This window comes from Homo sapiens, chromosome 1, assembly GCF_000001405.40.
Source record: "Homo sapiens chromosome 1, GRCh38.p14 Primary Assembly".
NCBI lineage: Eukaryota > Metazoa > Chordata > Mammalia > Primates > Hominidae > Homo > Homo sapiens.
In genome coordinates this window covers 53,110,390-53,130,292 of record NC_000001.11, presented here as the reverse complement: position 1 = coordinate 53,130,292, position 19,903 = coordinate 53,110,390, and the positions used below count along the sequence as shown (strand labels likewise).

General features: G+C 54.4%; 1 protein-coding gene and 1 long non-coding RNA gene across 7 annotated transcripts in view, besides 5 other annotated features; one reads left to right on the top strand and one right to left on the bottom strand.

The window, feature by feature from the left end:
- The window catches only part of SLC1A7 (solute carrier family 1 member 7), a 55,456-nt gene that overhangs the window by 12,346 nt on the left and 23,207 nt on the right, over window positions 1-19,903 (top strand). For 4 of the 5 annotated variants that reach the window (NR_109858.2, NM_006671.6, NM_001287595.2 and 1 more), the window contains exon 3: window positions 15,320-15,535. The exons of the other annotated variant lie outside the window; for it this stretch is intronic. Coding sequence is in view for 3 of the 4 variants with exons in the window: in NM_006671.6 (NP_006662.3) it covers window positions 15,320-15,535 (216 nt within the window). In the remaining variant the exon portion in view is untranslated. The remainder of the gene's footprint in view (window positions 1-15,319; window positions 15,536-19,903) is intronic. 5 annotated transcript variants of the gene reach the window in all.
- Window positions 4,910-9,687: an enhancer, noted in NCBI's record as "VISTA enhancer hs2585". NCBI's record gives its function as "enhancer in: neural tube[5/6] | limb[5/6]" and the evidence as "EXISTENCE:transgenic organism evidence [ECO:0001131][PMID:17130149]".
- Window positions 7,574-8,373: an enhancer, noted in NCBI's record as "H3K4me1 hESC enhancer chr1:53587592-53588391 (GRCh37/hg19 assembly coordinates)". NCBI's record gives its function as "activates a minimal SCP1, AML or CMV promoter by ChIP-STARR-seq in primed H9 embryonic stem cells {active_cell/tissue: H9 hESC(primed)}" and the evidence as "EXISTENCE:reporter gene assay evidence [ECO:0000049][PMID:30033119]".
- LOC105379783 (uncharacterized) lies at window positions 11,672-15,464 on the bottom strand. 2 transcript variants are annotated; one of them, XR_007066089.1, is made up of 4 exons: window positions 15,380-15,464; window positions 14,713-14,981; window positions 14,061-14,182; window positions 11,672-11,897 (listed from the first exon to the last, which is right to left on the bottom strand). It is a non-coding gene; the product is annotated as an uncharacterized LOC105379783 (long non-coding RNA). The 2 variants fall into 2 exon arrangements; XR_007066088.1 differs by lacking the exon at window positions 15,380-15,464 and having other exon boundaries at window positions 14,713-15,241.
- Window positions 14,131-15,113: an enhancer, noted in NCBI's record as "H3K4me1 hESC enhancer chr1:53580852-53581834 (GRCh37/hg19 assembly coordinates)". NCBI's record gives its function as "activates a minimal SCP1, AML or CMV promoter by ChIP-STARR-seq in naive and primed H9 embryonic stem cells {active_cell/tissue: H9 hESC(naive and primed)}" and the evidence as "EXISTENCE:reporter gene assay evidence [ECO:0000049][PMID:30033119]".
- Window positions 18,450-19,174: an enhancer, noted in NCBI's record as "H3K4me1 hESC enhancer chr1:53576791-53577515 (GRCh37/hg19 assembly coordinates)". NCBI's record gives its function as "activates a minimal SCP1, AML or CMV promoter by ChIP-STARR-seq in primed H9 embryonic stem cells {active_cell/tissue: H9 hESC(primed)}" and the evidence as "EXISTENCE:reporter gene assay evidence [ECO:0000049][PMID:30033119]".
- Window positions 19,542-19,836: a silencer, noted in NCBI's record as "tiled region #13647; K562 Repressive DNase matched - State 20:ReprD". NCBI's record gives its function as "represses a minimal TATA promoter and a strong SV40 promoter by Sharpr-MPRA in K562 cells {active_cell/tissue: K562}" and the evidence as "EXISTENCE:reporter gene assay evidence [ECO:0000049][PMID:27701403]".

The following is a 19,903-nucleotide window of genomic DNA, read 5'->3' as shown; positions in this document are numbered from 1 at the left end:
CCTGCTCCTGCCCAGCCCCTGCCATGCACGCCCTCTTTTAATTCTTTTAATTTAAAGTCTCACTCTGTATTCAAGACCTAGCTCAAGGTTCTGTGTGGGAAGTCCTTCCACCTCCCCATTTGTTGGTAAAATGGATGATGATCTGTCTCCAATGCTGACGCTGTGTGTGACCTGCATGAGCTGAGTGTCGTTAGCTCAGTGACCTCACGGTCGCAGCTGGCATGCCACACAATGGGGGACAGGCATCTTTTAGTCCAGTAGTGACATCTATGTGAGCAAACCAACTAGTATCCCTATTCGGAAGAGCCACTCATCTCACTGAACAAGAAAGCCACTGTCAAGGGGTCGGGCCAGCGGCATGGCCCCCTCCGTGGGCAGGGTCGTGTGCATCTTTGTTTTTTTCTGAGATCCCAGGAGGGGATCAGGTCATTGACCCCCTTGTCTTTCACACTGACCTCTGCCTGGTACTCAGCGTGACAGATTCGTTCAGAAGTTGGAGATCTAAACAACAAGCAAAGGGAGGTGGTGAGGTGTAAAGAAGTGTGGGTGACTGCAAGGGTGGACGTGAGGGCTGAAAGGCCCCTGGGCTGCCATGGAGGGGTCACAGGCACACCTTGCTCTGGAGAAAGGAGGCCCAGTGGGAGGGCAGTGGGGCCAGCGGGGTTGGAGCTGAGTTCAGTCACTCTTCCCATAATCTGGCATCTTCCAGCTGTGGGCTCTTTTTTTTCTAGAATTTCTCCAACCCAGCCCCTGGCCCAAGTCCCTCCTCAGACATGTGTGCTTCAGTCCAACTGAGTGCAGCCCACGCTTGACCAGTGGTGGCTTCATCTGTCACAATGTGGCGGGGGAGCAGGAAGCATGGGCGGGGGTGGTTGAAATCTGCAAAGGCTACAGGGCAGGAACAGGGCTTTGGAGTCACCCTCTAGATGTGCAAATGTAAACAAGCCTTTTAGCATCTGAGCCTCAGTGTCCTTATCTATAAAGTGGGAAGAATACCTCCTTCACGAGGTTATTACGAAAAGTAAGTAAGAGAATGTACGTGAAGACCCAGCATGGCTCCTGGTACGTTATGGATGTCCCATGTTTTTCTTTTTTCTTTTTTTTTTTCTTTTTTGAGACATAGTCTCACTCTGTCACCCAGGCTGGAGTGCAGTGGCATGATCTCAGCTCACTGCAATCTCCACCTCCCGGGTTCAAGCAATTCTCCTGCCTCAGCCTCCCAAGTAGCTGGGATTACAGGCACCCGCCACCATGACCAGCAAATTTTTGAATTCTTAGTAGAGACGGGGTTTCACCATGTTGGCCAGGCTGGTCTCGAACTCCTGACCTCAGGTGATCCGCCCACCTTGGCCTCCCAAAGTGCTAGGATTACATGCGTGAGCCACCATGCCTGGCAGATGTCCCATGTTTTTCTAACTTATTAAAGCATCACCAGGCTCCTCAGATGTGTCATGAATGCTCCCCCAGCCCGTGGCCACCTCTGTCACTGCTCTCAGCAGGAAGCCCCTTGGATGGCTTCTTCCATCTTCATGGTTCTAATTAGCACCTGCAGCTCACCTGTCCCCTGCCCTGGAAAGCCACCCTTGACTGAGGCACACCCGGGTGCTCCCTCAACACTGGTACAGACCATGCAGCATGCCCTGCTTCACCTGAGTCGTGCACACCTGCACATCCACAGGGCCTCCGCAGGGGCCCTGGCCAGGTCCTGCCCACTTCTCCATGATGCACTCACCTGGCACCCAGAGCCATTCCTTGCGCCATGACAGTCAGAGCCTCCTTATCTGTCATGAATTCCTATTCTTTTTTGTTTTTAATTGAGACAGGGTCTTACTCTGTCCCTCAGGCTGGAGTGCAGTGGCATGACCACAGCTCACTGTAACTTTCAACTCCAGGGCTCAATCGATCCTCCCGACTTAGCCTCCCAATTAGCTGGGACTACAGGCACACGCCACCATGCCCAGCTAATTTTTTAAATTTTGGGTAGACATGGGGCTCTCACTATGTTGCCAAGGCTGGCCTTGAATTCCTGGGCTCGAGGCATCCTCCTGCCTTGGCCTCTCAAAGTGCTGGGATTACAGGTGTGAGTCACCGCACCCTGCCCAATTCCTATTCTTACTGCCTCTTGCTTTTCTATGCCCTTCACTCCTACAACCAAGCAGCCTTCATCAGCTTCCCATTCACACCAGCATTCCTTGCTTCAAGTAGTGCCTTCAGTTATCTCCTGGTTCTCTGTGTGTGTGTCTGTGTGTATTCGTTATCATTGCCGTGTAACAAATTATCACAAACTTAGTGACATAAACACACTTCATGGTTGCCTCAGTCCCTGGGCCAGCAGTCTGGGCGGGCTTGGCTGAGTCCTCTGCTCAGAGTCTTAGGCTGCAATCCAGGTGTCCGCTGGGCTCTGTTCTCATCCGGAGGCCCAACCAGGGAGAATCCGCCTCCATGCTCCCTCAGGCATGGACAGAAGTGATTCCCCATGGCTGCTGCCTGAGGGCCCAGCATTGACAGCTGTGCAGTGGAGCCACTCAGGTTCTAGAGGCTGCCTGCAGCTCCCCACCCAGCTGTCTCCACAGGCAGCTCACAGCATAGCACTGTAGGTCATCAAGGCCAGCAGGAAGCCCGGTCCTCACCAGTCTTCTGAGTCAAAGTCTTCTACCACATAACCACAGGGAGACATCCCACCACCTTGTTGTGTTCTCATAGAAGTCACAGGCACTGCCACACTGCGGGAGGAGGATATACCAGGGCTTGGGTCATCGGGGTGGCCTGAGGGCCTGTCCACCTCCTTCTCTCTCCTGGAACCTTCCTTCTCTCTTCCTCTGTCCCCAGAGCAGCTGGATGTCTTTCAGAAGTCACTTCTGCTCACCTCTCTCCCTGGAGCCGGCTTGGGTTGAGTGGAGCCACTGCTCAGCTTCTGTCCAAGTAGTTCATCAAGAACTTTCTTCTGAATAAGGACTGCTCCCTTACTGTAAAAATAATTCTGAAGAATATAACTCTCCCCCTTTCATCTGATTTCTCACTGCCCCATACAGGGCCTGCTACTGCCTGTGCCTGATCAATACATTTTCAATGAATAAGAAGCAGCAGAGGGCAGCGGCAGCAGAGTTCAGGGAAAGTCTCACCATCAGCATTTGTATGGGCCCTGGAGGACAGTTAGGAGCTGAACTTTAAAGATGTTTTCATATTTTAAAAAATTAGATAAAGCCCTGGCAACATAGTGAGACCCCATCTCTACAAAAAAAAAAAAAAAAAAACTTTTAAAATTAGCCAGGCATGATGGTGGGCACCTGTAGTCCTGGCTACTTGGGAGGCTGAGGTGGGAGGATCGCTTGAGCCCAGAAGGTTGAGCCTGCAGTGAGCCATGTTCATGCCATTGCACTCCAGCCTGGGCAACAAAGCAAGACCTTATCTCATAAAAAAAAAAAATTAGATAAGCAAATTACAAACATTTTGGATAACAGAGAAGAAACCATCCTCTCACTCCACATTGCTAATTCTGCCACTGTGATTTCTTCTCTACAAGGTTTGTTCTTATTCTTACTGGTGAATTCACCAGATGTGAGGTGAGGTCCTTGGCTGATGGGATCAGAAGCCCAACTGTCTGGGCCCCAGAGCTGGTTGGGCCTGTCCCCCGATGCTAGCAAGGGGCAATCAAATATGCCACATACTGATTTATTCATTCCCAGAGATCAAGACACTTGCCAGCAAGGACAGTCATATGCAGGCTCTGGCCAGAGCCTCTCTGTGGGCTTACCATGCAGGGAACCCACTGGTGAAATCTGCTTGCTGGTGGGTACATTTAGTTATTTAACTGTATAACCCGGCGTAACTCCAGGTTTGCGGTTTTCAGTTTATTTCAGCCCTCCCACCACCCCCGCCTTATAGTGGAGTCCCATCATATGTGCATTTAACTTAAGTGAATTCAATTACATGTGCTCTGAAAAAGGGAGAAAATCATTTAAATGAGACAGGAGACTCCTCCTTCCAAGGGCTCTTCCCCAGGTGAGGGCCACGAGAGAGGAGGGCCTGAATTGCCTCCACCAGCCGCTGTGCCCAGGCACCTCCTGAACAGTGAGCACCTCCCTGAAGCCAGAGAGTTTCTAGGGCCTGCAGAGGGGTGGGTGTTTTAGATCACGGCCTCTGAGTGTATGCTGATGCTCTCATCTGGTGTTTGCTTAAAGAAACAGCAACCCACTCCAAGGCTGGAAGGGAAACTGTCTTGAATGAACTTACACAAAACTATACCTCCTGGACTCTATGGGCAACTTAAGAGATTTTCAAAGGCAAAATTAATTACACTTTGTTTTTGCTTTACTGACTTGAAACTGAATACACTGAATATGGTCCTACTCCCCTGTACTAGCAGGAAGCCCAGTGTGTCCCTCTGGAGGCCTCCACCCCGTGGCCACAGTCAGCTTATTTCATTCAGTGGAAGCTTCTGGTGTAAACAGAGCTGGAACATGGGGTCCTGCCACCAGCCCTGCTGCTCTGGTTCCCTCCACGGGGTGGCCCTGTGGAACGCAGGTCCCGCACGCTCTGGTGGAAGTCTGCACACTGCCCCTTGCAGGTGCACAACGCTGCTCAGGCCACAGGGATGCCTCCAGACCCCTAGGTCCCCCCGAAGTGCTCAATAATTGTTCCTAAAGCAGCCTCAGTCATGTCCTGAGATCAGCTCCCCGGGAGTTGAGCCCCAATTCCCTTTTCCCTCCTACTGGGTTCATTTTGGAGGCCTTGAATGCCAGGCCATCTCGGCTGGGGGACTCTAGCGTACCCTGGTGCTAACTTCAAATCACAGGGAACTGGGGCTCAGGTCTTAGTCTTTTTCCTCTCAGAAGGCCCTGATCCTCTGGTGCAAATGGGCACAGTTTTCCATAACTCTGCAGATCTCAAGTTCTCAAGGAGGAGGCATTCATCAAGCCACAACAGCTCCTCCCTTCCCCTGACAGTGCTGCCTTCTCATCCGACATTTGCTGCTCAAAAGATTCTTTGCAAAATAAAATTGCCTGCAGGGGAACTTGCTCTGTCCACCCAGGAACAGAGACGCCTTGGACAAAAATTAGAAAATTCTGCCTCACATTACATTAGTATAGGAACGAATCATCTGGACGGGACCTGCATTGGGGCCCCCCTCCCATGGTTTTGCCCTCCTCAGCCGTCTTCCGTGTGCTGCCACAGTTCACTAACGCCATGCCAATTATATCTTTATTTAGAAAAGTCAAGCCTTCAGGGCCTGGGAGCCTTACTTTCCCATTCTTCCCCGAGCAGGCCACTTGTCACTACCCCAATCCTTTTTGCTTTCAACTTACAGTATAACCCAAAAAGTATCTTCCACAAAAATAAATCTGTAGCCTGCTTGCTTTGGTTTTCCCCCAATGTGATGTCATAAGAATTTCCACGCTGCACCTTCACCTTGGTGATCCTGTTTTACTCACCCACTCGGGAGGCACAGAGTTTGCAAAGTCTTTTGCCTGTCACAAGGCACTTGGGAGGCTGCTAGACTCTTGAGGGAGCTGCCCTGCCTCGGGACTGTGGTCTCACCTCGAGTTCACCCTCTTAGCCTCAGCCATAAAATAGGCACAATGCTGTCTGCTAATTTACAAAGCAGGTCCCGGCAGGTGCTCTGTGTGTGTGTTTGTGTGCCCATGTGTGTTTGTGTGTGTGGCCCATTATGGCCCCATTCCACTGAGGCTAGACTTTGCACCTCACCTTGGGAGGTCAACTGAGCCTTGTTTTCACACATCCCCAGACAAGCTTGACACAAGGAATTAGGGGTAAGTCAGACCAGCATCTGGATCCAGCTAGAGCCTCCAATTCTCCACTTGCTTTTTGCCAAACCCTTCTCTCCCCTCATTCTTCAGTTTCTTAAACCAGGCGTCCTTCAGGGGAAACTGAATCCATGTGTTTGTGATTCACTAGGGCTGTGCATGATAGAGTGTTCTGTGAGCTCCACAACATAGCAAAGACAGCCAAGCGTGGGTGTGGGTTTGTCTGTGAAGCTGTGTTGTGTGTGTGTGTGTGTGTGTGTGTGTGTGTGTGTGTGTGTTGTGTATGTATTGTTTTCCTTCCTATTTCTTGTAAGGACTTTAAACTGATTTTTCTTAGAATCAGGAAATCATGTTTGGCCAGAGAAACTCAACACTCCCTTCTCCCCTTCCTGAGGAACTCTAGTGTGGCAGAAAATTCCCAAACACCCACATTCTAACTTATTGGAAATGGGCCTGGGCCAAGCAGCCGTCAAAGTCTGGTTTGGGAGCCAGTGTGCAGGGGGCTGCCCAGACTCCCCAGGACAGGCCGTGAGCAGGAGGAGGCAGAGGAGCGGGTGGCCAGAGGGCCAAACCGGTACAGCCTGTGCTTCGGATGCTGCCCTCCGAGTCAGGGGGTAGCCACAGTTTGGCGAGCTCCACTGAACCTTCTGGTGTGAGCCCTGGGACCTGCCTTTGGCCCTTCTGCCCAGTCAGATGATTTGCCTTACTCATCAAGAGGGGAAACGTGGCCCGCTGTGGGCTGCGGGTGGGGTCAGACCTCCAGCCTGGTGACTCCGAAAAGCTCCCAGGCTTTATCCTGCACCACAGACTTCCATGCTCTCGCTCCCTTCCAGTTAGAGAATTCCTACTTGGCCTTCGAGGCTCCATCCAGCTGTGCCCTCCTCTGGGAGGCCCAGCCCGATGCCCGGAGGGCTGGCCCTGCTCTGGCGCTCAGTCACAGCTACCCCCACCCCCGGGTTGGTGTTGCTCTGCTGCTGGTCTCCCCACCCGCTGGCCAGAGCACCAGGAAGAACACAGACCCACCTCATTCCCTTCTGAGCCCCACAGCACCCAGTGCAAATGTTCAACACCGGGCAGGGTGGGCACATATCTCAGAGCCTGGGAAGGTGGGTGAGGTTTTGAAAACTGTGCTGCCGCCCTTCTCTGTGGAGAACCGCTGCACTGGAGAGAGGCCCACAGGATGGCCCCGCCTGAGCCCTGTGCGGGGCAGACTCCAGGGGCCCTGCTGGTGCAGGGAGGGGAGGCAGGAGACCTGAGTTCCCCTGACTCCTCATGATCTTTGCCACATGGGCAAGGAAGGGGTGGGGGATTCAGTTCACGTGGAGTTGGAAACTGGACCTGGCCCTGACTGCCTTAGGGAATGCAGCCTTCTTGGTGGAGAATGGTTGAGAATGGCCGGCAGTCTGACAGTGAGCTCTGAGGGCTGCAGCTGTGGCTCCTCCAGCTTCTGCTTTTGATCCAGTTCAAGCTTATCATTCTCACAGGTCCCAGTGGAGCGCCCTCTTGGCACCCAGGCCTGGGAAGGAGGGACCTTCAGAGGGCAGCAGGGCATGCCAGGGTAGCAGCACCCACCGCCCACACTCTGAGCCCCACACTCTCTCCCACCTTCCCTCCATGGAAATCAAGGTGGAGGCCAAGAGGTTTGGTCCATGTGGCTCCAGAGGGCTGGCTGGGCCCAGTGTGGCCCAATGCTCTTCCCCGGAGGCGGATTTCATTGTGACACCAGGAAGGACTTCCTAATAAGCATCACGAGCTCTTAGTGGAGGGGCTGACTCAGAAGGTAGTGAGTGCTCTGTCCTCTGAGATATGCAAGCAGAGGTGGTGGAGGAATTTCTGCCCTTGGGAGGGTGTGCTGAGACGAGATGGCCCAGACTTTAGCTGAGTGGGAGTCTGGGCATGCTGCCTTAGGCCTCAGGAGGAGTCGGCTTGAGTGTGGGGCTTTGGCAGAGCCGTCTGGGAAGCATGACTTGGAGCTGGCGCTAATGGGCATGGCACTGGCTGTCAGCTGTTGGGCCTGCCTTCTGCTCAGGGGAAAAGAAGAGTAAGCCATGATGCTCAGATGGACTGAAGGGACCCCTCTTGCCCGCAGACCCCCGAAGCCTCCTTCCTGCGGCCTGTCTGGTAGACTTCCTGCAGCTGCATCCCAGGGCCAGCTGGGGAGAGCCTCTGTGGCTAGGTCAGCCAAGGCCAGAGCCCAAGGACTTGGCTGCAGGGCTTGGGGCTCCTCACTGTCCCTCAGGTCCTCCCACTGCCAGGAGGTTGTGACTGGATGCTGTCATGCCAGCAGACTAGGGCTTGAACCCACTTATTGTGTGACTTTAGCAAGTTGCTTGCACACCTCCAGTGACTGGGAGGTCACCACTTCTCAAGGTAGTTCCTGCCAGAGCAGGACAGCTCTGCCAGAAAGTTATTCCTGGTGCTGAGCTGAGAGCCCTAGGGCTTTTCCCATCATCCCCAGCATTCCCAGGTCTGCTCCGCTCCGGACCACACAGCACCTGCCCCCCAGCCCCCCAGCTGCTCCCCGCAACCAGGCACGTGCCTCTATCACCTGCTGCCTACCCAGCTGCCCTCTACAGGACACACACACCCCGCCCCGTCCCTTTCTCAATGAGTCAAAGCAGGTCTGCAGCAGCCTCCACCAGCCCCCGGGCTTCTGAAGCCACAGGCAGGGGGCCCACCAGCCCTTTGGCAGCCCCGCGTCCCAGGTGACTCACCAGCTGGCAGCAAACAAAGCCCAAAGTCCCCTCCCCACGTGTGCAGCCACGGCTCAGCCTCCCCCTCCCACCCCGGTGTTTGTGCACTCCAAGCTGTGGAAGCCAAGTGCGGCCCAACACATGTCTGTGTTCAGGCTCATTGTGTCAGAATTGACTGCTGGGGTCTGCTTGGATTCCCAACTCCCTCATCCAGCACATTAGCTATTCCTCCCAGCTTCCTGTCCTCTACAAATCTGCTCCACATGCTGTCGGGGGCCTTGGCCAAGCCATTGATTAAAATGACCAGAAAGGAGAGGGCCGAAAGCAGAGTCCTGAAGCTGATCTCTAGACACCCTCTCTACTGCCCAGGACATTCAGCTCCTTGTCCCTTCACCAAGCCCCCATCTCTTCCCAGATTTCTGGTGCCAACTGTCTCGATGTCACACAGACACACAACACCGTGGGCATTCCCCTAAGCCCATCCGGGGACCAAGGCTGGTACTGGTGATCTGTTCTCAGGAAACCTTCAATGGCTGCTCAGTCACCTGGGCACACAAGTCGTCCTTTTCACGTCTGATCTAGAATGTCACCCTGGTTCAGCATCACACACATCAGCAACCCTGCACCCAGGCCTGTGCCAGACCTTGGGTTTTAAGGACCTAGAGCCAAACTAGACTTAGCCTTGCCTTGGAGGAGTTCCAGTCTGCTGGGACAGGTGGTCACAGACAGACAGTGAAGACAGAGGAAATTATAACAATTGAAATGCAGTGCGTACTTATCACATGCCATGTACCACTCCAACCCAAGATTTGGCCTCACAGCAAACCGGCATCATCCGCACTCATCCTCAGTGGAAACTGAGGCACACCCAGGCCCAGTCACATGCCCAAGGGCTCGCAGTGAGTGAGGGATGCTTACGGGAGCTTCCTCGCCTTGCCTAGGGCCAGGGCAGCCTTCAGAGGGCGGTGGTGCCTGAGTGGAGACTTCAGAGCTGAGCAGCATCCACAGGACAGGAAAGGAGAAGAAGGCGGGGACTGGGCTCCCGGCACTCCGTGCCAGCCCGTCCTGTGCCAGGTGCTGGGTCAGGCCCTGGGGATTCGGGTTGAGCCCACTAGCAGGGTGCTCCGTAACAAACTGGGAAGCACAGGGTGCCCTGGGGAAGTGGGTGAGATGGCTGCAGTCAGGGAAGGCTTCCCAGAGGCAGTGATGTCTAAGCTGACCCAGGGTTGGGGACATTGGGCCAGGGTTGGGGAAGGGATGGTGGATGGAGAGTTCCAGGCGGGAGGAACATCCAGTGCAAAGGTACTTCCAGGAGCAGAGTGGACGAGGAGGAGAGCGGCCCAGCCCCAGGGGACGCAGGGCAGGGAAGGAGCTGGGATGGTTGCGGAGGGCAATGGGGAGTCACCCCAAACTGGGGGAGGGGCATCCGGCAGCTGGGCAGCCTGCAGGCTCTCTTGGCTCTCTCTGTAGGGAGGTGCGACTACAACTTCGACTTCGTGGGGGCGTGGTTTCTAATCCCTCACCTTTGTAACCAGCGCTTGGCAAATGGCAGAGCTGCCCTGCACCTCCCAGTGTGAGATGGGGTCAGGAGTCCCACCTCAGGGGTTGGTGCGAGAACCAGGGGAGGGTCAGTCAGCAGCCTTTTTCTCCTTCCACCGGGAGCCTGGCAGTCTTTGCCTCCCTTCCCCCACCCCTGCAAGTGGAGCAATTACCAGATTGAGACAGGCTGGGCCTTCCCACTGCCTCTGCGGGTTAATGTCTCTAATCACTGCAATCTCTTGATCCACAATCCCTGGGCTCTGAGTGGTGGCCAGATGGCTTAGGAGGGAGTTCCAGCCTCCAGACTCCCAGAGGCTCTTCCCTGGGGCCCTCAAACACCGCAGGTGCTCCCAGGAGCACCCAGCCAAGCGTGGTGTGGGAGAGAGGTGGTTGCCTATTCTCCCCTCACCATAAATCACAGAGCCAGAAGGAATGTTTGAAGTCATCCTCATGGAACCTCCCACTCTATCTGGAAGCCTCCATCTAGCATCTCAACAGGTGGCCATCCAGGATCCACCTGGATGCCTCCAACAATGGGAAGCTCACCACCACAAATCTGAGGCTCATTACCAAGGGCAGGCTGTGAACTCCGAGATTGAACTAAAATGGCTTTACATGGGCTGGATCACATTAAAATCATAGTCAGCTGGGCTGGGTGGCTCACACCTGTAATCCCAGCACTTTGGGAGGTGAAGACAGGAGGATCATTTGGGCTCAGGAGTTCCAGACCAGATTGGGCATCATCAAGATACCCCCATCTCTACTAAAAATTTTTAAAAATTAGCCAGGCATGGTGTCGAGTGCCTGTAGTCCCAGCTACTTGGGAGGCTGATGTGAGAGAATCATTTGAGCCTAGGAGGTCAAGGCTGCAGTGAGCCATGATCGTGCCACTGAGCCCCAGCCTGGGCAACAGAGTGAAACCCTGTTTCAAAGAATTAATAAAAAATAAAATCATAGCCCAAACCAGATCTTTTCCCCCACCACCAGAGTTAAACCAGGTTTGTGCCACAGACAGGCACTGTGGGAGTGGGAACCCCACAAGGTTCTGAATCAGAAATCCCTGTTCCAATCTTGACATTATGGTTCACCAACTGGAGGGCCTGGCCAGTTGCCTCCATCTCCCTGTGCTCCATTTTCCCCATCTGTAACTCAGAACTATTGTATTGGGCTGTCCAATACAACAGCCACGAGTCAGAGGAGGCCTCTGAGACCCAAAAGCAGGCAGTGCAACTGAGGAACTGAACTTTTATTTAATTTAATTTAAAATTTAAAACCTGAAGCAATATAAATTTTTTTTTGAAACGGAGTTTCACTCTTGTTGCTCAGGATGGAGTGCAATGGCGTGGCCTCAGCTCACTGCAACCTCTGCCTCCCAGGTTCAAGCGATTCTCCTGCCTCAGCCTCCCAAGAAGCTAGGATTACAGGCATGCGCCACCACACCTGGCTAATTTTGTATTTTTAGTAGAGATGGGGCTTCACCGTGTTGGTCAGGCTGGTCTCGAACTCCTGACCTCAGGTGATCCACCTGTCTCAGCCTCCCAAAGTGCTGGGATTATAGGCATGAGCCACCGTGCCTGGCCTAAAAATTTTTATATTGATGACATATTGAAATGATAATATTTGGGATAAACTAGGTTAAATAAAGTATTAAACTTAATTTCACCAAAAAACTAATTTCACCTGTTTCTTTTTACTTTTTAATGTGACCACTAGAAAATTCTAAATTACAAATGTGGCTCGCAGTGGAACTCCACAGTGCTTCACTCAGAAGGTTAAGGATCCACTGGGCTGGGTGTTCAGGTGTCTGGGGAACAGTAAAGTCCCAGAGAGATGATGGCTTCTGAGGCTGCTGGGTCCTCCAGGAGGTGTCATCTCCATCACACAAGAAGACGGGCTCAATCTAGAAAGAATAGAGAATGTGAAGGACTATTCGAAACAAAACAAAAATTACTTATAACACCCAAAGATAATAATTACATTTCCTATAGAGTTTGCTTGTTTCCGTGCCCGTCCACGCGACCTGGTCTCCCACCACCACTGGGCACCAGCTGCAAGTTCTCAGAAAAGTCACCTTTAACAGCTTGACCTTGAAGCCTGGGACCTTGAGGAGCCTCAGCAGGGAGGAATCCCTCAAAAAGCCAAAGGGCAGGGCCTTACACCTCCTTTCTGTGCCTGTGAGCTCTGAGTGGAAGCCACGACCTCTGCATGCCCAGCTCCCATTCTTCTTGGCCTCCGCCCTCACCTGCGGTGGCCCTGGCACTCCGGGGGAGGCTGGCCTGTGCTGCCAGCTGTCACCAGCAGTTCCCGCGGCTGCTCACCTCTCCCTTCCGCCATTTGTGGGAAGGGAGGGAGGCTCCAGCACAGAACGACTTGGGTCCCAGGATTCTCTCCATTTCGTCCATGGGTGCTCTCCTGTCCAGAGCTGATGGGGGCCCCAGGGTGGGGTCAGGGATCCCTCTTGCTCTGTCTAAAACCTACACTCCCTCCCACATCTCAATCTGTCCCTGAGTTGGCGCCACCCCCGTGTTAGGCCTCTTCGTCCCCGGTGGGGGGCCTTCTGAGGGGCCTTTATCCTTTCCTGAAATCCAGTCCTCACCTGCACCCCACTCCACACAATCCCTCAGACACATCTATGTGCCTAGACTGCAAATCTGGAGGGAGTCCACCATCCCAGGAGGTTCCAGGGCTCACTGCAGAGATGCAAACAATCTGGTAACTTGCTTTTCCACTTAGCATTGATTTAGGAACACCCTTCCAGGGACACGATCACTCCGGATGGCTGCTATACCGTCCCTTCCTATCTAATCTGCATTGGTGAGTTCTTAGGTCAGGTTTTTGATCTTACAAGTACTACTTCAGTGACCCTCCCAGTACACCATGTGTACTTTGATCTTCTCAAATGGAAGGAATTTTTCGTTCTCCCTTCTAGACATCCAGCAAATTCTGCTGCCTGAGTTGTGCTGAAGTGCCACAAGGCCACCCTACTCCTGAGCTCAGCCTATCTTCTCTATCCCTTCTATCACCAATCTGTCACTAACCCTCAGATATTACCTGAGCTCGGGCCACATCGAACAGCACGGTGTCTCACACTTTCCAGCCTCCCTTCTGCCTTCCACTGTCTCACTGCTGCGCATGTCTGCCCCATCTCCAAATCCTCTCCCATTTCCAAGAGCCAGGTCAAATGCCACCTCCTCCAGGGAGCCCTTCCTGACTTTCCTAGCTCGAAGTGATTCCCCCTTCTCTGAACAAAGACAGCATTTCCTTGTCCCCGCTTCCCTTGCGGTTCTGATGCTCCCACATAGTCCAGGGGCCATTTGAGTGCACTTGTGGCCCAGTGTCCTTTCCTTCTCCCTCCCCATTCCCTGGCAGATTAGGAACTCCTTGAGGTCAGGGACAGGTTCTGATTTCTTCCTGTGGGCACAGGGCATGGCACGGAGTGGGCATGTGCGAAAGGTTTGAATGCACGTGAATGAAGGAGGACAGGCCTGGGTCTGGCCCTGAGTTCTGGCCCAGCCGGGCACTGCTGTCCTGTGTGACCTCAGGCAGGGCCTGCTCTCGGGTACATGGCTTCCCTGTGGCCTGAGGCGGCTGGACCCCACTGCGGGGGGTTCTGTCATGGTGGGAGGACTGTTTGGCCCTGGGTTGACGCACCGGCCCTGCGTGGGATAATCTCTCTTTGATGATGATTGCAGGGCAGCCCCCCATTTCCTCTGGCTGCACAATCCCATTATGAGCCCTTCAGGATTTATGTCTAAGACCCACCCTAAGCCCATCACTAACATATGGCATCCTGGCAGATGAGGATGAGCAGAGATTGTAAACACTCATTCATTCATTCACTCACTCCTTCACTCAGCAGTCTGCTACCAAACTGCGGACCCAGCATTCAATCAGAACCTGGCCCAACCCTGGAGGTGCTTCCAGTAAAGAGTCCGCAGTCCAGTGAGGTGGGGGCAGGGACAGTGGGAGGCACAGGGACTGTGGAGCCAGAGAAGGAGGCTTCACTCAGCCTGGTGGTCAGAGACGGCTTCCTGCAAGAGGGGATGCTCAAAGTGTGTCTTACCAGAAGAGTAAGCCATTGCGCCAGCGAGCAGGCAGGGCAGGGCCCTCACAGGCGGTGGCTCCCGCTGGGGGAGGGGGCCGGTGTTCACGCTCAGCCTGGGGCTGGATGCTGCTGCATGGAATCTAATGATAAGAGGAGCGTGGCTGGGGATTATCTGCTCTTGTTTACATGATTAAAACCAGACAAATACTTCTTTATCTGAAAGAATGAAAGGGCTTTGGGGAAAAATCCTTTTGTCAACAAAGCAAAGCACAAGCATTTCCTTAATTAATCTCACTTCACCCCACACCCCCCACCGTCCCACACCCCCCACAATGGCTGCAAGAAGCGTTGCTCTAGGGCTCCAGGGCTCCAGGGCTCCAGGACGCCAGTACTCTGGGGCTGACCTGCACTGGTAGGCAGAAAGCCCAGGCCAGGGTGGCTAGGGGTGGGGAGGAGCCGAGAGGAGAGAGACCCACAGCCCTCTCAACACAGCCCCCTGTGACAAGGAGCCTGGGCCCAGGCACAAACCCAAGATGTCCCCATTTTACAGATGGAGATCCTGAGGCCCAAAGATGGGGAAGTGACTTGCTTGCCTGAGGCCACACAGCCAGTTGGCAGAGCTGGGACTAGGACCTGGGTCACCAGCCCCCAGCCCAGCGCTCTCACTCACTCCTCATTAGCTCGTCCAGGAGCCCGCAGGAACCGCCTGCGGTGCCGTCCTCTCGGGACCCACAGGGAAGTCAGACTCATCCCTCCTCTCACAAACAGACAGGCAGCGTCCTGATGGAGCAGCCAGGGGCTGTGGGGGTCCTAGAATGGGCTCCTCACTCTGGGGGAGAGGCAGGTAGATCTCAGAGGTAGACCAAGCTTGGTCCTGCCTGGCTGGGCAGGGGTCAGGAGAGTGAAGGAAGCTTCTGAGAGGACACCAAGCATGGGAAACTTGAGGCAACAAAGTAAAGCACACGCATTTCCTTAATTAATCTCTCACTCCCCCAACAGTGTCCCCACCATCCCACAGCCACCCTGGCCTGGGCTCTCTGCCTAGCAGTGCAGAGGTCTCAAGGCACAGATGTGTGTGGCCTGCGCCCCGGGGCGTGGGGGAGAGGGCAGAGCAGAAAGAGAGGCTGGAAGGAGCACAGGACTGGATTGTTGGAAGAATGGGGTTCCCTGGAGCACTGTGAGGCAGCTGGACATGGCCAGGAGGGGCTGAGTGAGCGCTGAGTGCCAGCCAGGCCCTGGCCTCCCCACCACAGCCCCTGACCCCCTCGCCCTCCCAGCTTGATGTCCGGACTTGCCTCCCTGGATGCCAAGACCTCTAGCCGCCTGGGCGTCCTCACCGTGGCGTACTACCTGTGGACCACCTTCATGGCTGTCATCGTGGGCATCTTCATGGTCTCCATCATCCACCCAGGCAGCGCGGCCCAGAAGGAGACCACGGAGCAGAGTGGGAAGCCCATCATGAGCTCAGCCGATGCCCTGTTGGACCTCATCCGGTAACTATTGCCACCCACACCCCGCTTGGGAACGCCAGGCCCGAGCCTGCCCTGCCAGGTCCCCCAGAGGCCAGGACGGGGTGTGGAGATGGGGGTGATCACGGAGTCCATGATCACCCTGGTGGGTTGAGCTCTGGGCTGCCCGCTGGGCTCATGCTGCATCGTCTGCCCCACCAGGCTAGAAGCACCTTGCAGCCTGGACGGGGTCTGCCCCTCTCTGCCTGTGGATGGGCGCAGAGCAGACATCTGTGAGCATTTGCTGATGCCCAGCCTGTAGGGTGGGAGGCTGGCTGTTATTGGCCCCTCCCTTTGTTTATTGGTCCTCTTTTTACAGATGAGGAAATGGGGCTCAAAAAGGTGCCGTGACTTTTCCAGAGTCACCGGTAGGTAGGTAGTGGAGACAGGATTCAACCTAGTCCTGTCTGACTCCAAGGACAATGCCCTTTGCCCTGTGGTGCCACCCCCTAGCAATGGCAGTGCCACATCCTAGCCACAGCAGTGCAGCTAACCTTGCTTCTCAGACCTAGGCTCCCTCTCCAGGGAAGCACTGCAGACCCAGCGGCACAGCCACCTTCCACTCCCTTTCCCCGGGTCCCCTGCAGGTCACCCCTGCTCCTGTCCTTCGTGCATTCGCTCCCTCACCAGTGCCAGTTCTGTGCCAGGCCCTGGACCAGGGGACTCAGAGCCAGCCCTTGCCCTGGAGGAGTGGTCAGACCCACGAGCAGACAGGGACAACATGGGGGCCTGGGGCTGCAATGGGGAAGCTGGGGCTGCCGGTGAGAGCAGGAAGCCACTGCCCTTCTAAGGGAGGGGAAGATGGGGAGGCAGGGAGGGCAGGCCTGGGGGCGATAGCTGTGCGAAGGTCCTGAGCTGCAGGGAACCGTCTGCGGGGAGAAGGCATAGCACCATCAGTGTGACACAGCAGAAGGGGTGAGAGGCAGGCAGAAACCCCTGCTGGAGAATTCAGGTGGGGACCGGCCTCAAAGTGCACCGTGAACCAGGCCAAAAGCTAAGTTGCATCCTAAAGGCCACAGAAAATGAGTTTTATACAGAGAAGCGGCATGATCCAATTCAGAAGGTTCAATCTGACCAGGGATCAGAGTTGCAGGGGAGGTAGGAGGGGAAGGCAGAGCCAGGGACAGGGCCAAGTGGTGGCCCTGGGGATGGGGAAGGGGGCAGATGGCAGGGCTGCTCAGGAGGGATCCTTAGCAGGAGGTGGGTGAGTAGGAGGTGAGGTGTGCTGATCACCCAGCATGAAGATTTCTGGCCCACGCATCCAAGTGGATGGTGGTGTGGTCACCAAGCGATGGATGGTCTGGAGCAGGTGCAGGCATCCTGGGGTAGGTGTCAACTGATGGTTGGCCAGTGGATGAGAATCTCATGGGGGAGTCTAAGCTGGAGACGGAGGTTTGGAAATCGCCAGGGAGAGGTGTTAGGTGCTACCCTAGTGGCAGAGGGGCTCTTGCAGGACAGGTGGTGAGAGAGCAGGGATTGGGATGGAGCCTGGGAAGCCCCACCCAGGAATGGTGTGCTGGGCTCCACAGGCTACCCCACTAAGCCCGCTCAGGGAACACCTTCTAGTACCTCTCACTTCCTGGTCAATTTCAGATCTAAGAAGTCTAGGCCTAACATTAAAACTCCAAACTCCTGCAGTTTAAACTAAGCCTGTCTTAGCCTTTTGGATCTGACTCAGACTGGGAAAGCTGCAGTGGGAAGAGGGTCGTGGTGAGTTTGTTTCTCTTTCCTGCTCTGCCTGCTCCCTGGTGAGAGGTGAGGGAGTGGGCTAGGAAGGGCTGCCCAGACTGGGAGAGGGGTGAGCTGGAGCAGGTGCTCCCTCGTTGTGTCTCTCCAGGACTACTTCTATGGGTTCTCTGGAGCCCCTCTTCTCTCTCGCATCTCTCACCTGCTGTCCCCTGGACTCAGGCAATTTATTCCATCTGGCTACTTACAACATCCCCTAGACCAGGGCTCTGGTTGACTCCTCTGCTGGGGTCACCTCACCCCTCTGGGTGACCCTGTTGGGTCATGTCTGGCCCATGGGAAGCATACATATCCCTATTGGAAGTGCTGGCCTTTCCCAGGGCCTTTGGACATGAGTCAGGCACCAGCCCCTACATTCCTCAAATTCTAAGAGACTCAAGCCAAGGTCTCTGAATAGTTCTCTTGGCTTAAGGTTGTGGAGAAGCATTCCTTTCCTCCCCCGTGGGGATAGATGCCCATACACAGGCTCCCACCCACTGTCTAAAGAAACTCTCGTTCCCTGTATCAGCTAGTTACTGCTGCATAACAAACCAACCCAACATTTATCAGCTTAAAACAACAGCCACAAGTCTATAGGTCAGCTGGAAAGTTCTGCTGGTTTGGACTGAGCTCACTCACATGTCTGCAGGCAGCTGGTGGCTCAACTGGGGAACAGTTGGTCTAGGGGAGTCTGGCTGAGATGATTCAGCTATACTCTGTGATCTTTGTACTCCAGCAGGCCAGCCTAGATTTGTTTCATGGTGGCGACAGGATTCCAGGAGAGAGCTAGCCCAGGCATTTTTTTTAATAACAAAGGTAGAGGAGCAAGAGAGGAAATCAAAACATGCAAATGTTTCTCAAGCCTCTGCTTTCAGCAAGTCCACTAATACCCTCTTGGCCAAAGCAAGTCAGGTGGCCAAGCCCAGACTCAGGGTGGGAAGGGACCACAATGTTACAAGGGAAATGGAGTCTACAAACCGAGGCCATCGATGCAATCAGTCTACCACTCCCTTCATTTCTCCAGGAAGATCTTCAGCTTCTCTTTTACCCTTTAGAGTGTGTGATGAACTAAGGATCATCAAATATTTGCCATGCTGTTCCTATCGCGTGGCTGTCACCTATAGGGTCTGGAGCCAGAAAGAGATCCAGGCAGGGTCTGTTCTGTGTTTGCTTACTTGGCTGGCAAGACTTCATCCAATACCAGGGCTTTGAACACCTTCTGGACTCTGGCACTTCCGAATTTAGTCTCCAGCCTGGAAAACTCTCACCTGAGTTCCAGATTCTCACATAAAGTGTCTAGAGGTATCTCAAAATTAACAGGCCCAAGCTCAACTCTTGATTTCTCCATAAATCTGCCCTTTTCTCGCCCTGCCCATCTTGGTCTGACATCTCTCATTCTCTCATACCCTGCAGCCAGTTCCTCAGCAAATTCTGTGAGCTCTACCTTGAAAACCAAATCCCAAGCCATGGCCCTTCCACCTCCCCTGCCACTCCCGCCATTGCCGCCCACTCCAGTGTCTGGCCTGGCCTCCGCTTCCTCTCTGCTTCCTGTCCTCTGTTCTCAGCACTGCAGCCAGAGGCATCCTTTTCAAAACCTGCTCTCAACCCAGCACATGGCAACAAAGTCGTAGCCTGCACCGCAGCTTACAGGCACTTGCTGACACACATCAGACTCTGACCTCCGCCCCAACTCTCCCTTTCCCTGCCCTGGCTCCAGCCCCACCCGCCTCGTTGTCCTTCCTGTCTGGGTGTCATTGCCTCCTCTCTGGGTGGCCCTCCCTGCAGAAAGCATGCAGCTCCTTCCCTCACTCCATTTACATCTCTCCTGGGTGTCGCCTCTCCTGAGACCTCCCAGGCTCTGCCTCTCTGTTGTCTTCTCTTGAGTCACTTCTCCTCATAGCCTTTCTTACTACCCAACATGATCATATCTACGTGTTTCTTTTCCTCCCACATCCACTGGAATGTAATATGCCCTGTGAAGCCTGGCTCTTTAACCTCCGTTCCCTGCTGTATCCTGGAGCCTAGGACAGCACCTGGCACCGAGTGGGTGCGCAGAGTTTGCTGAATGCACACGTGGGGTTTAAGGTCATCAGTGGCATTGGGGTCTGATCCCCAGGAGGAACTGGAATGGTCCAGGGAGAATGTGCCCAGCAAGCAGGTGCAGAGGCCTAGGACGGGCCTTGGCTCACGGCCGCACTGTGGGCTTTGCACAGCAAACAGAGCAGGGGCAAGCAGAGAGGCAGGAGGAGAACTAGGAGAGTGAACATCCTAAAGACGAGGAAAGAGGAACTTCAAGAAACCTCATTTGTAAGATCTGTTATTTCTAGGATCTGGTAACTGTGATTCATGGTTTCTTGGGTCTTATGATTCAGAACGGCTTCTCCACATGGTGGAAGGAGGTATCGGTGCTGCCTCCTTCACCACTGCCTGCCCTTACTCAGGGGCTGCGGGGCTCCAGATCAGAAACACGTGCCACAGTCAAATGTTCCAGAGTGTTTCCTGCTCTTGGGTTGCTTTTCACGTGGTGAAAACTGATCCTGCTGCTTAGAGCCGCACCCCCCACGCCCCAGCCCTACCCCACCCGCTCTCAACCCAGAGGCAAGTTGTTCTGCAAAGCTGGGTGTTGGG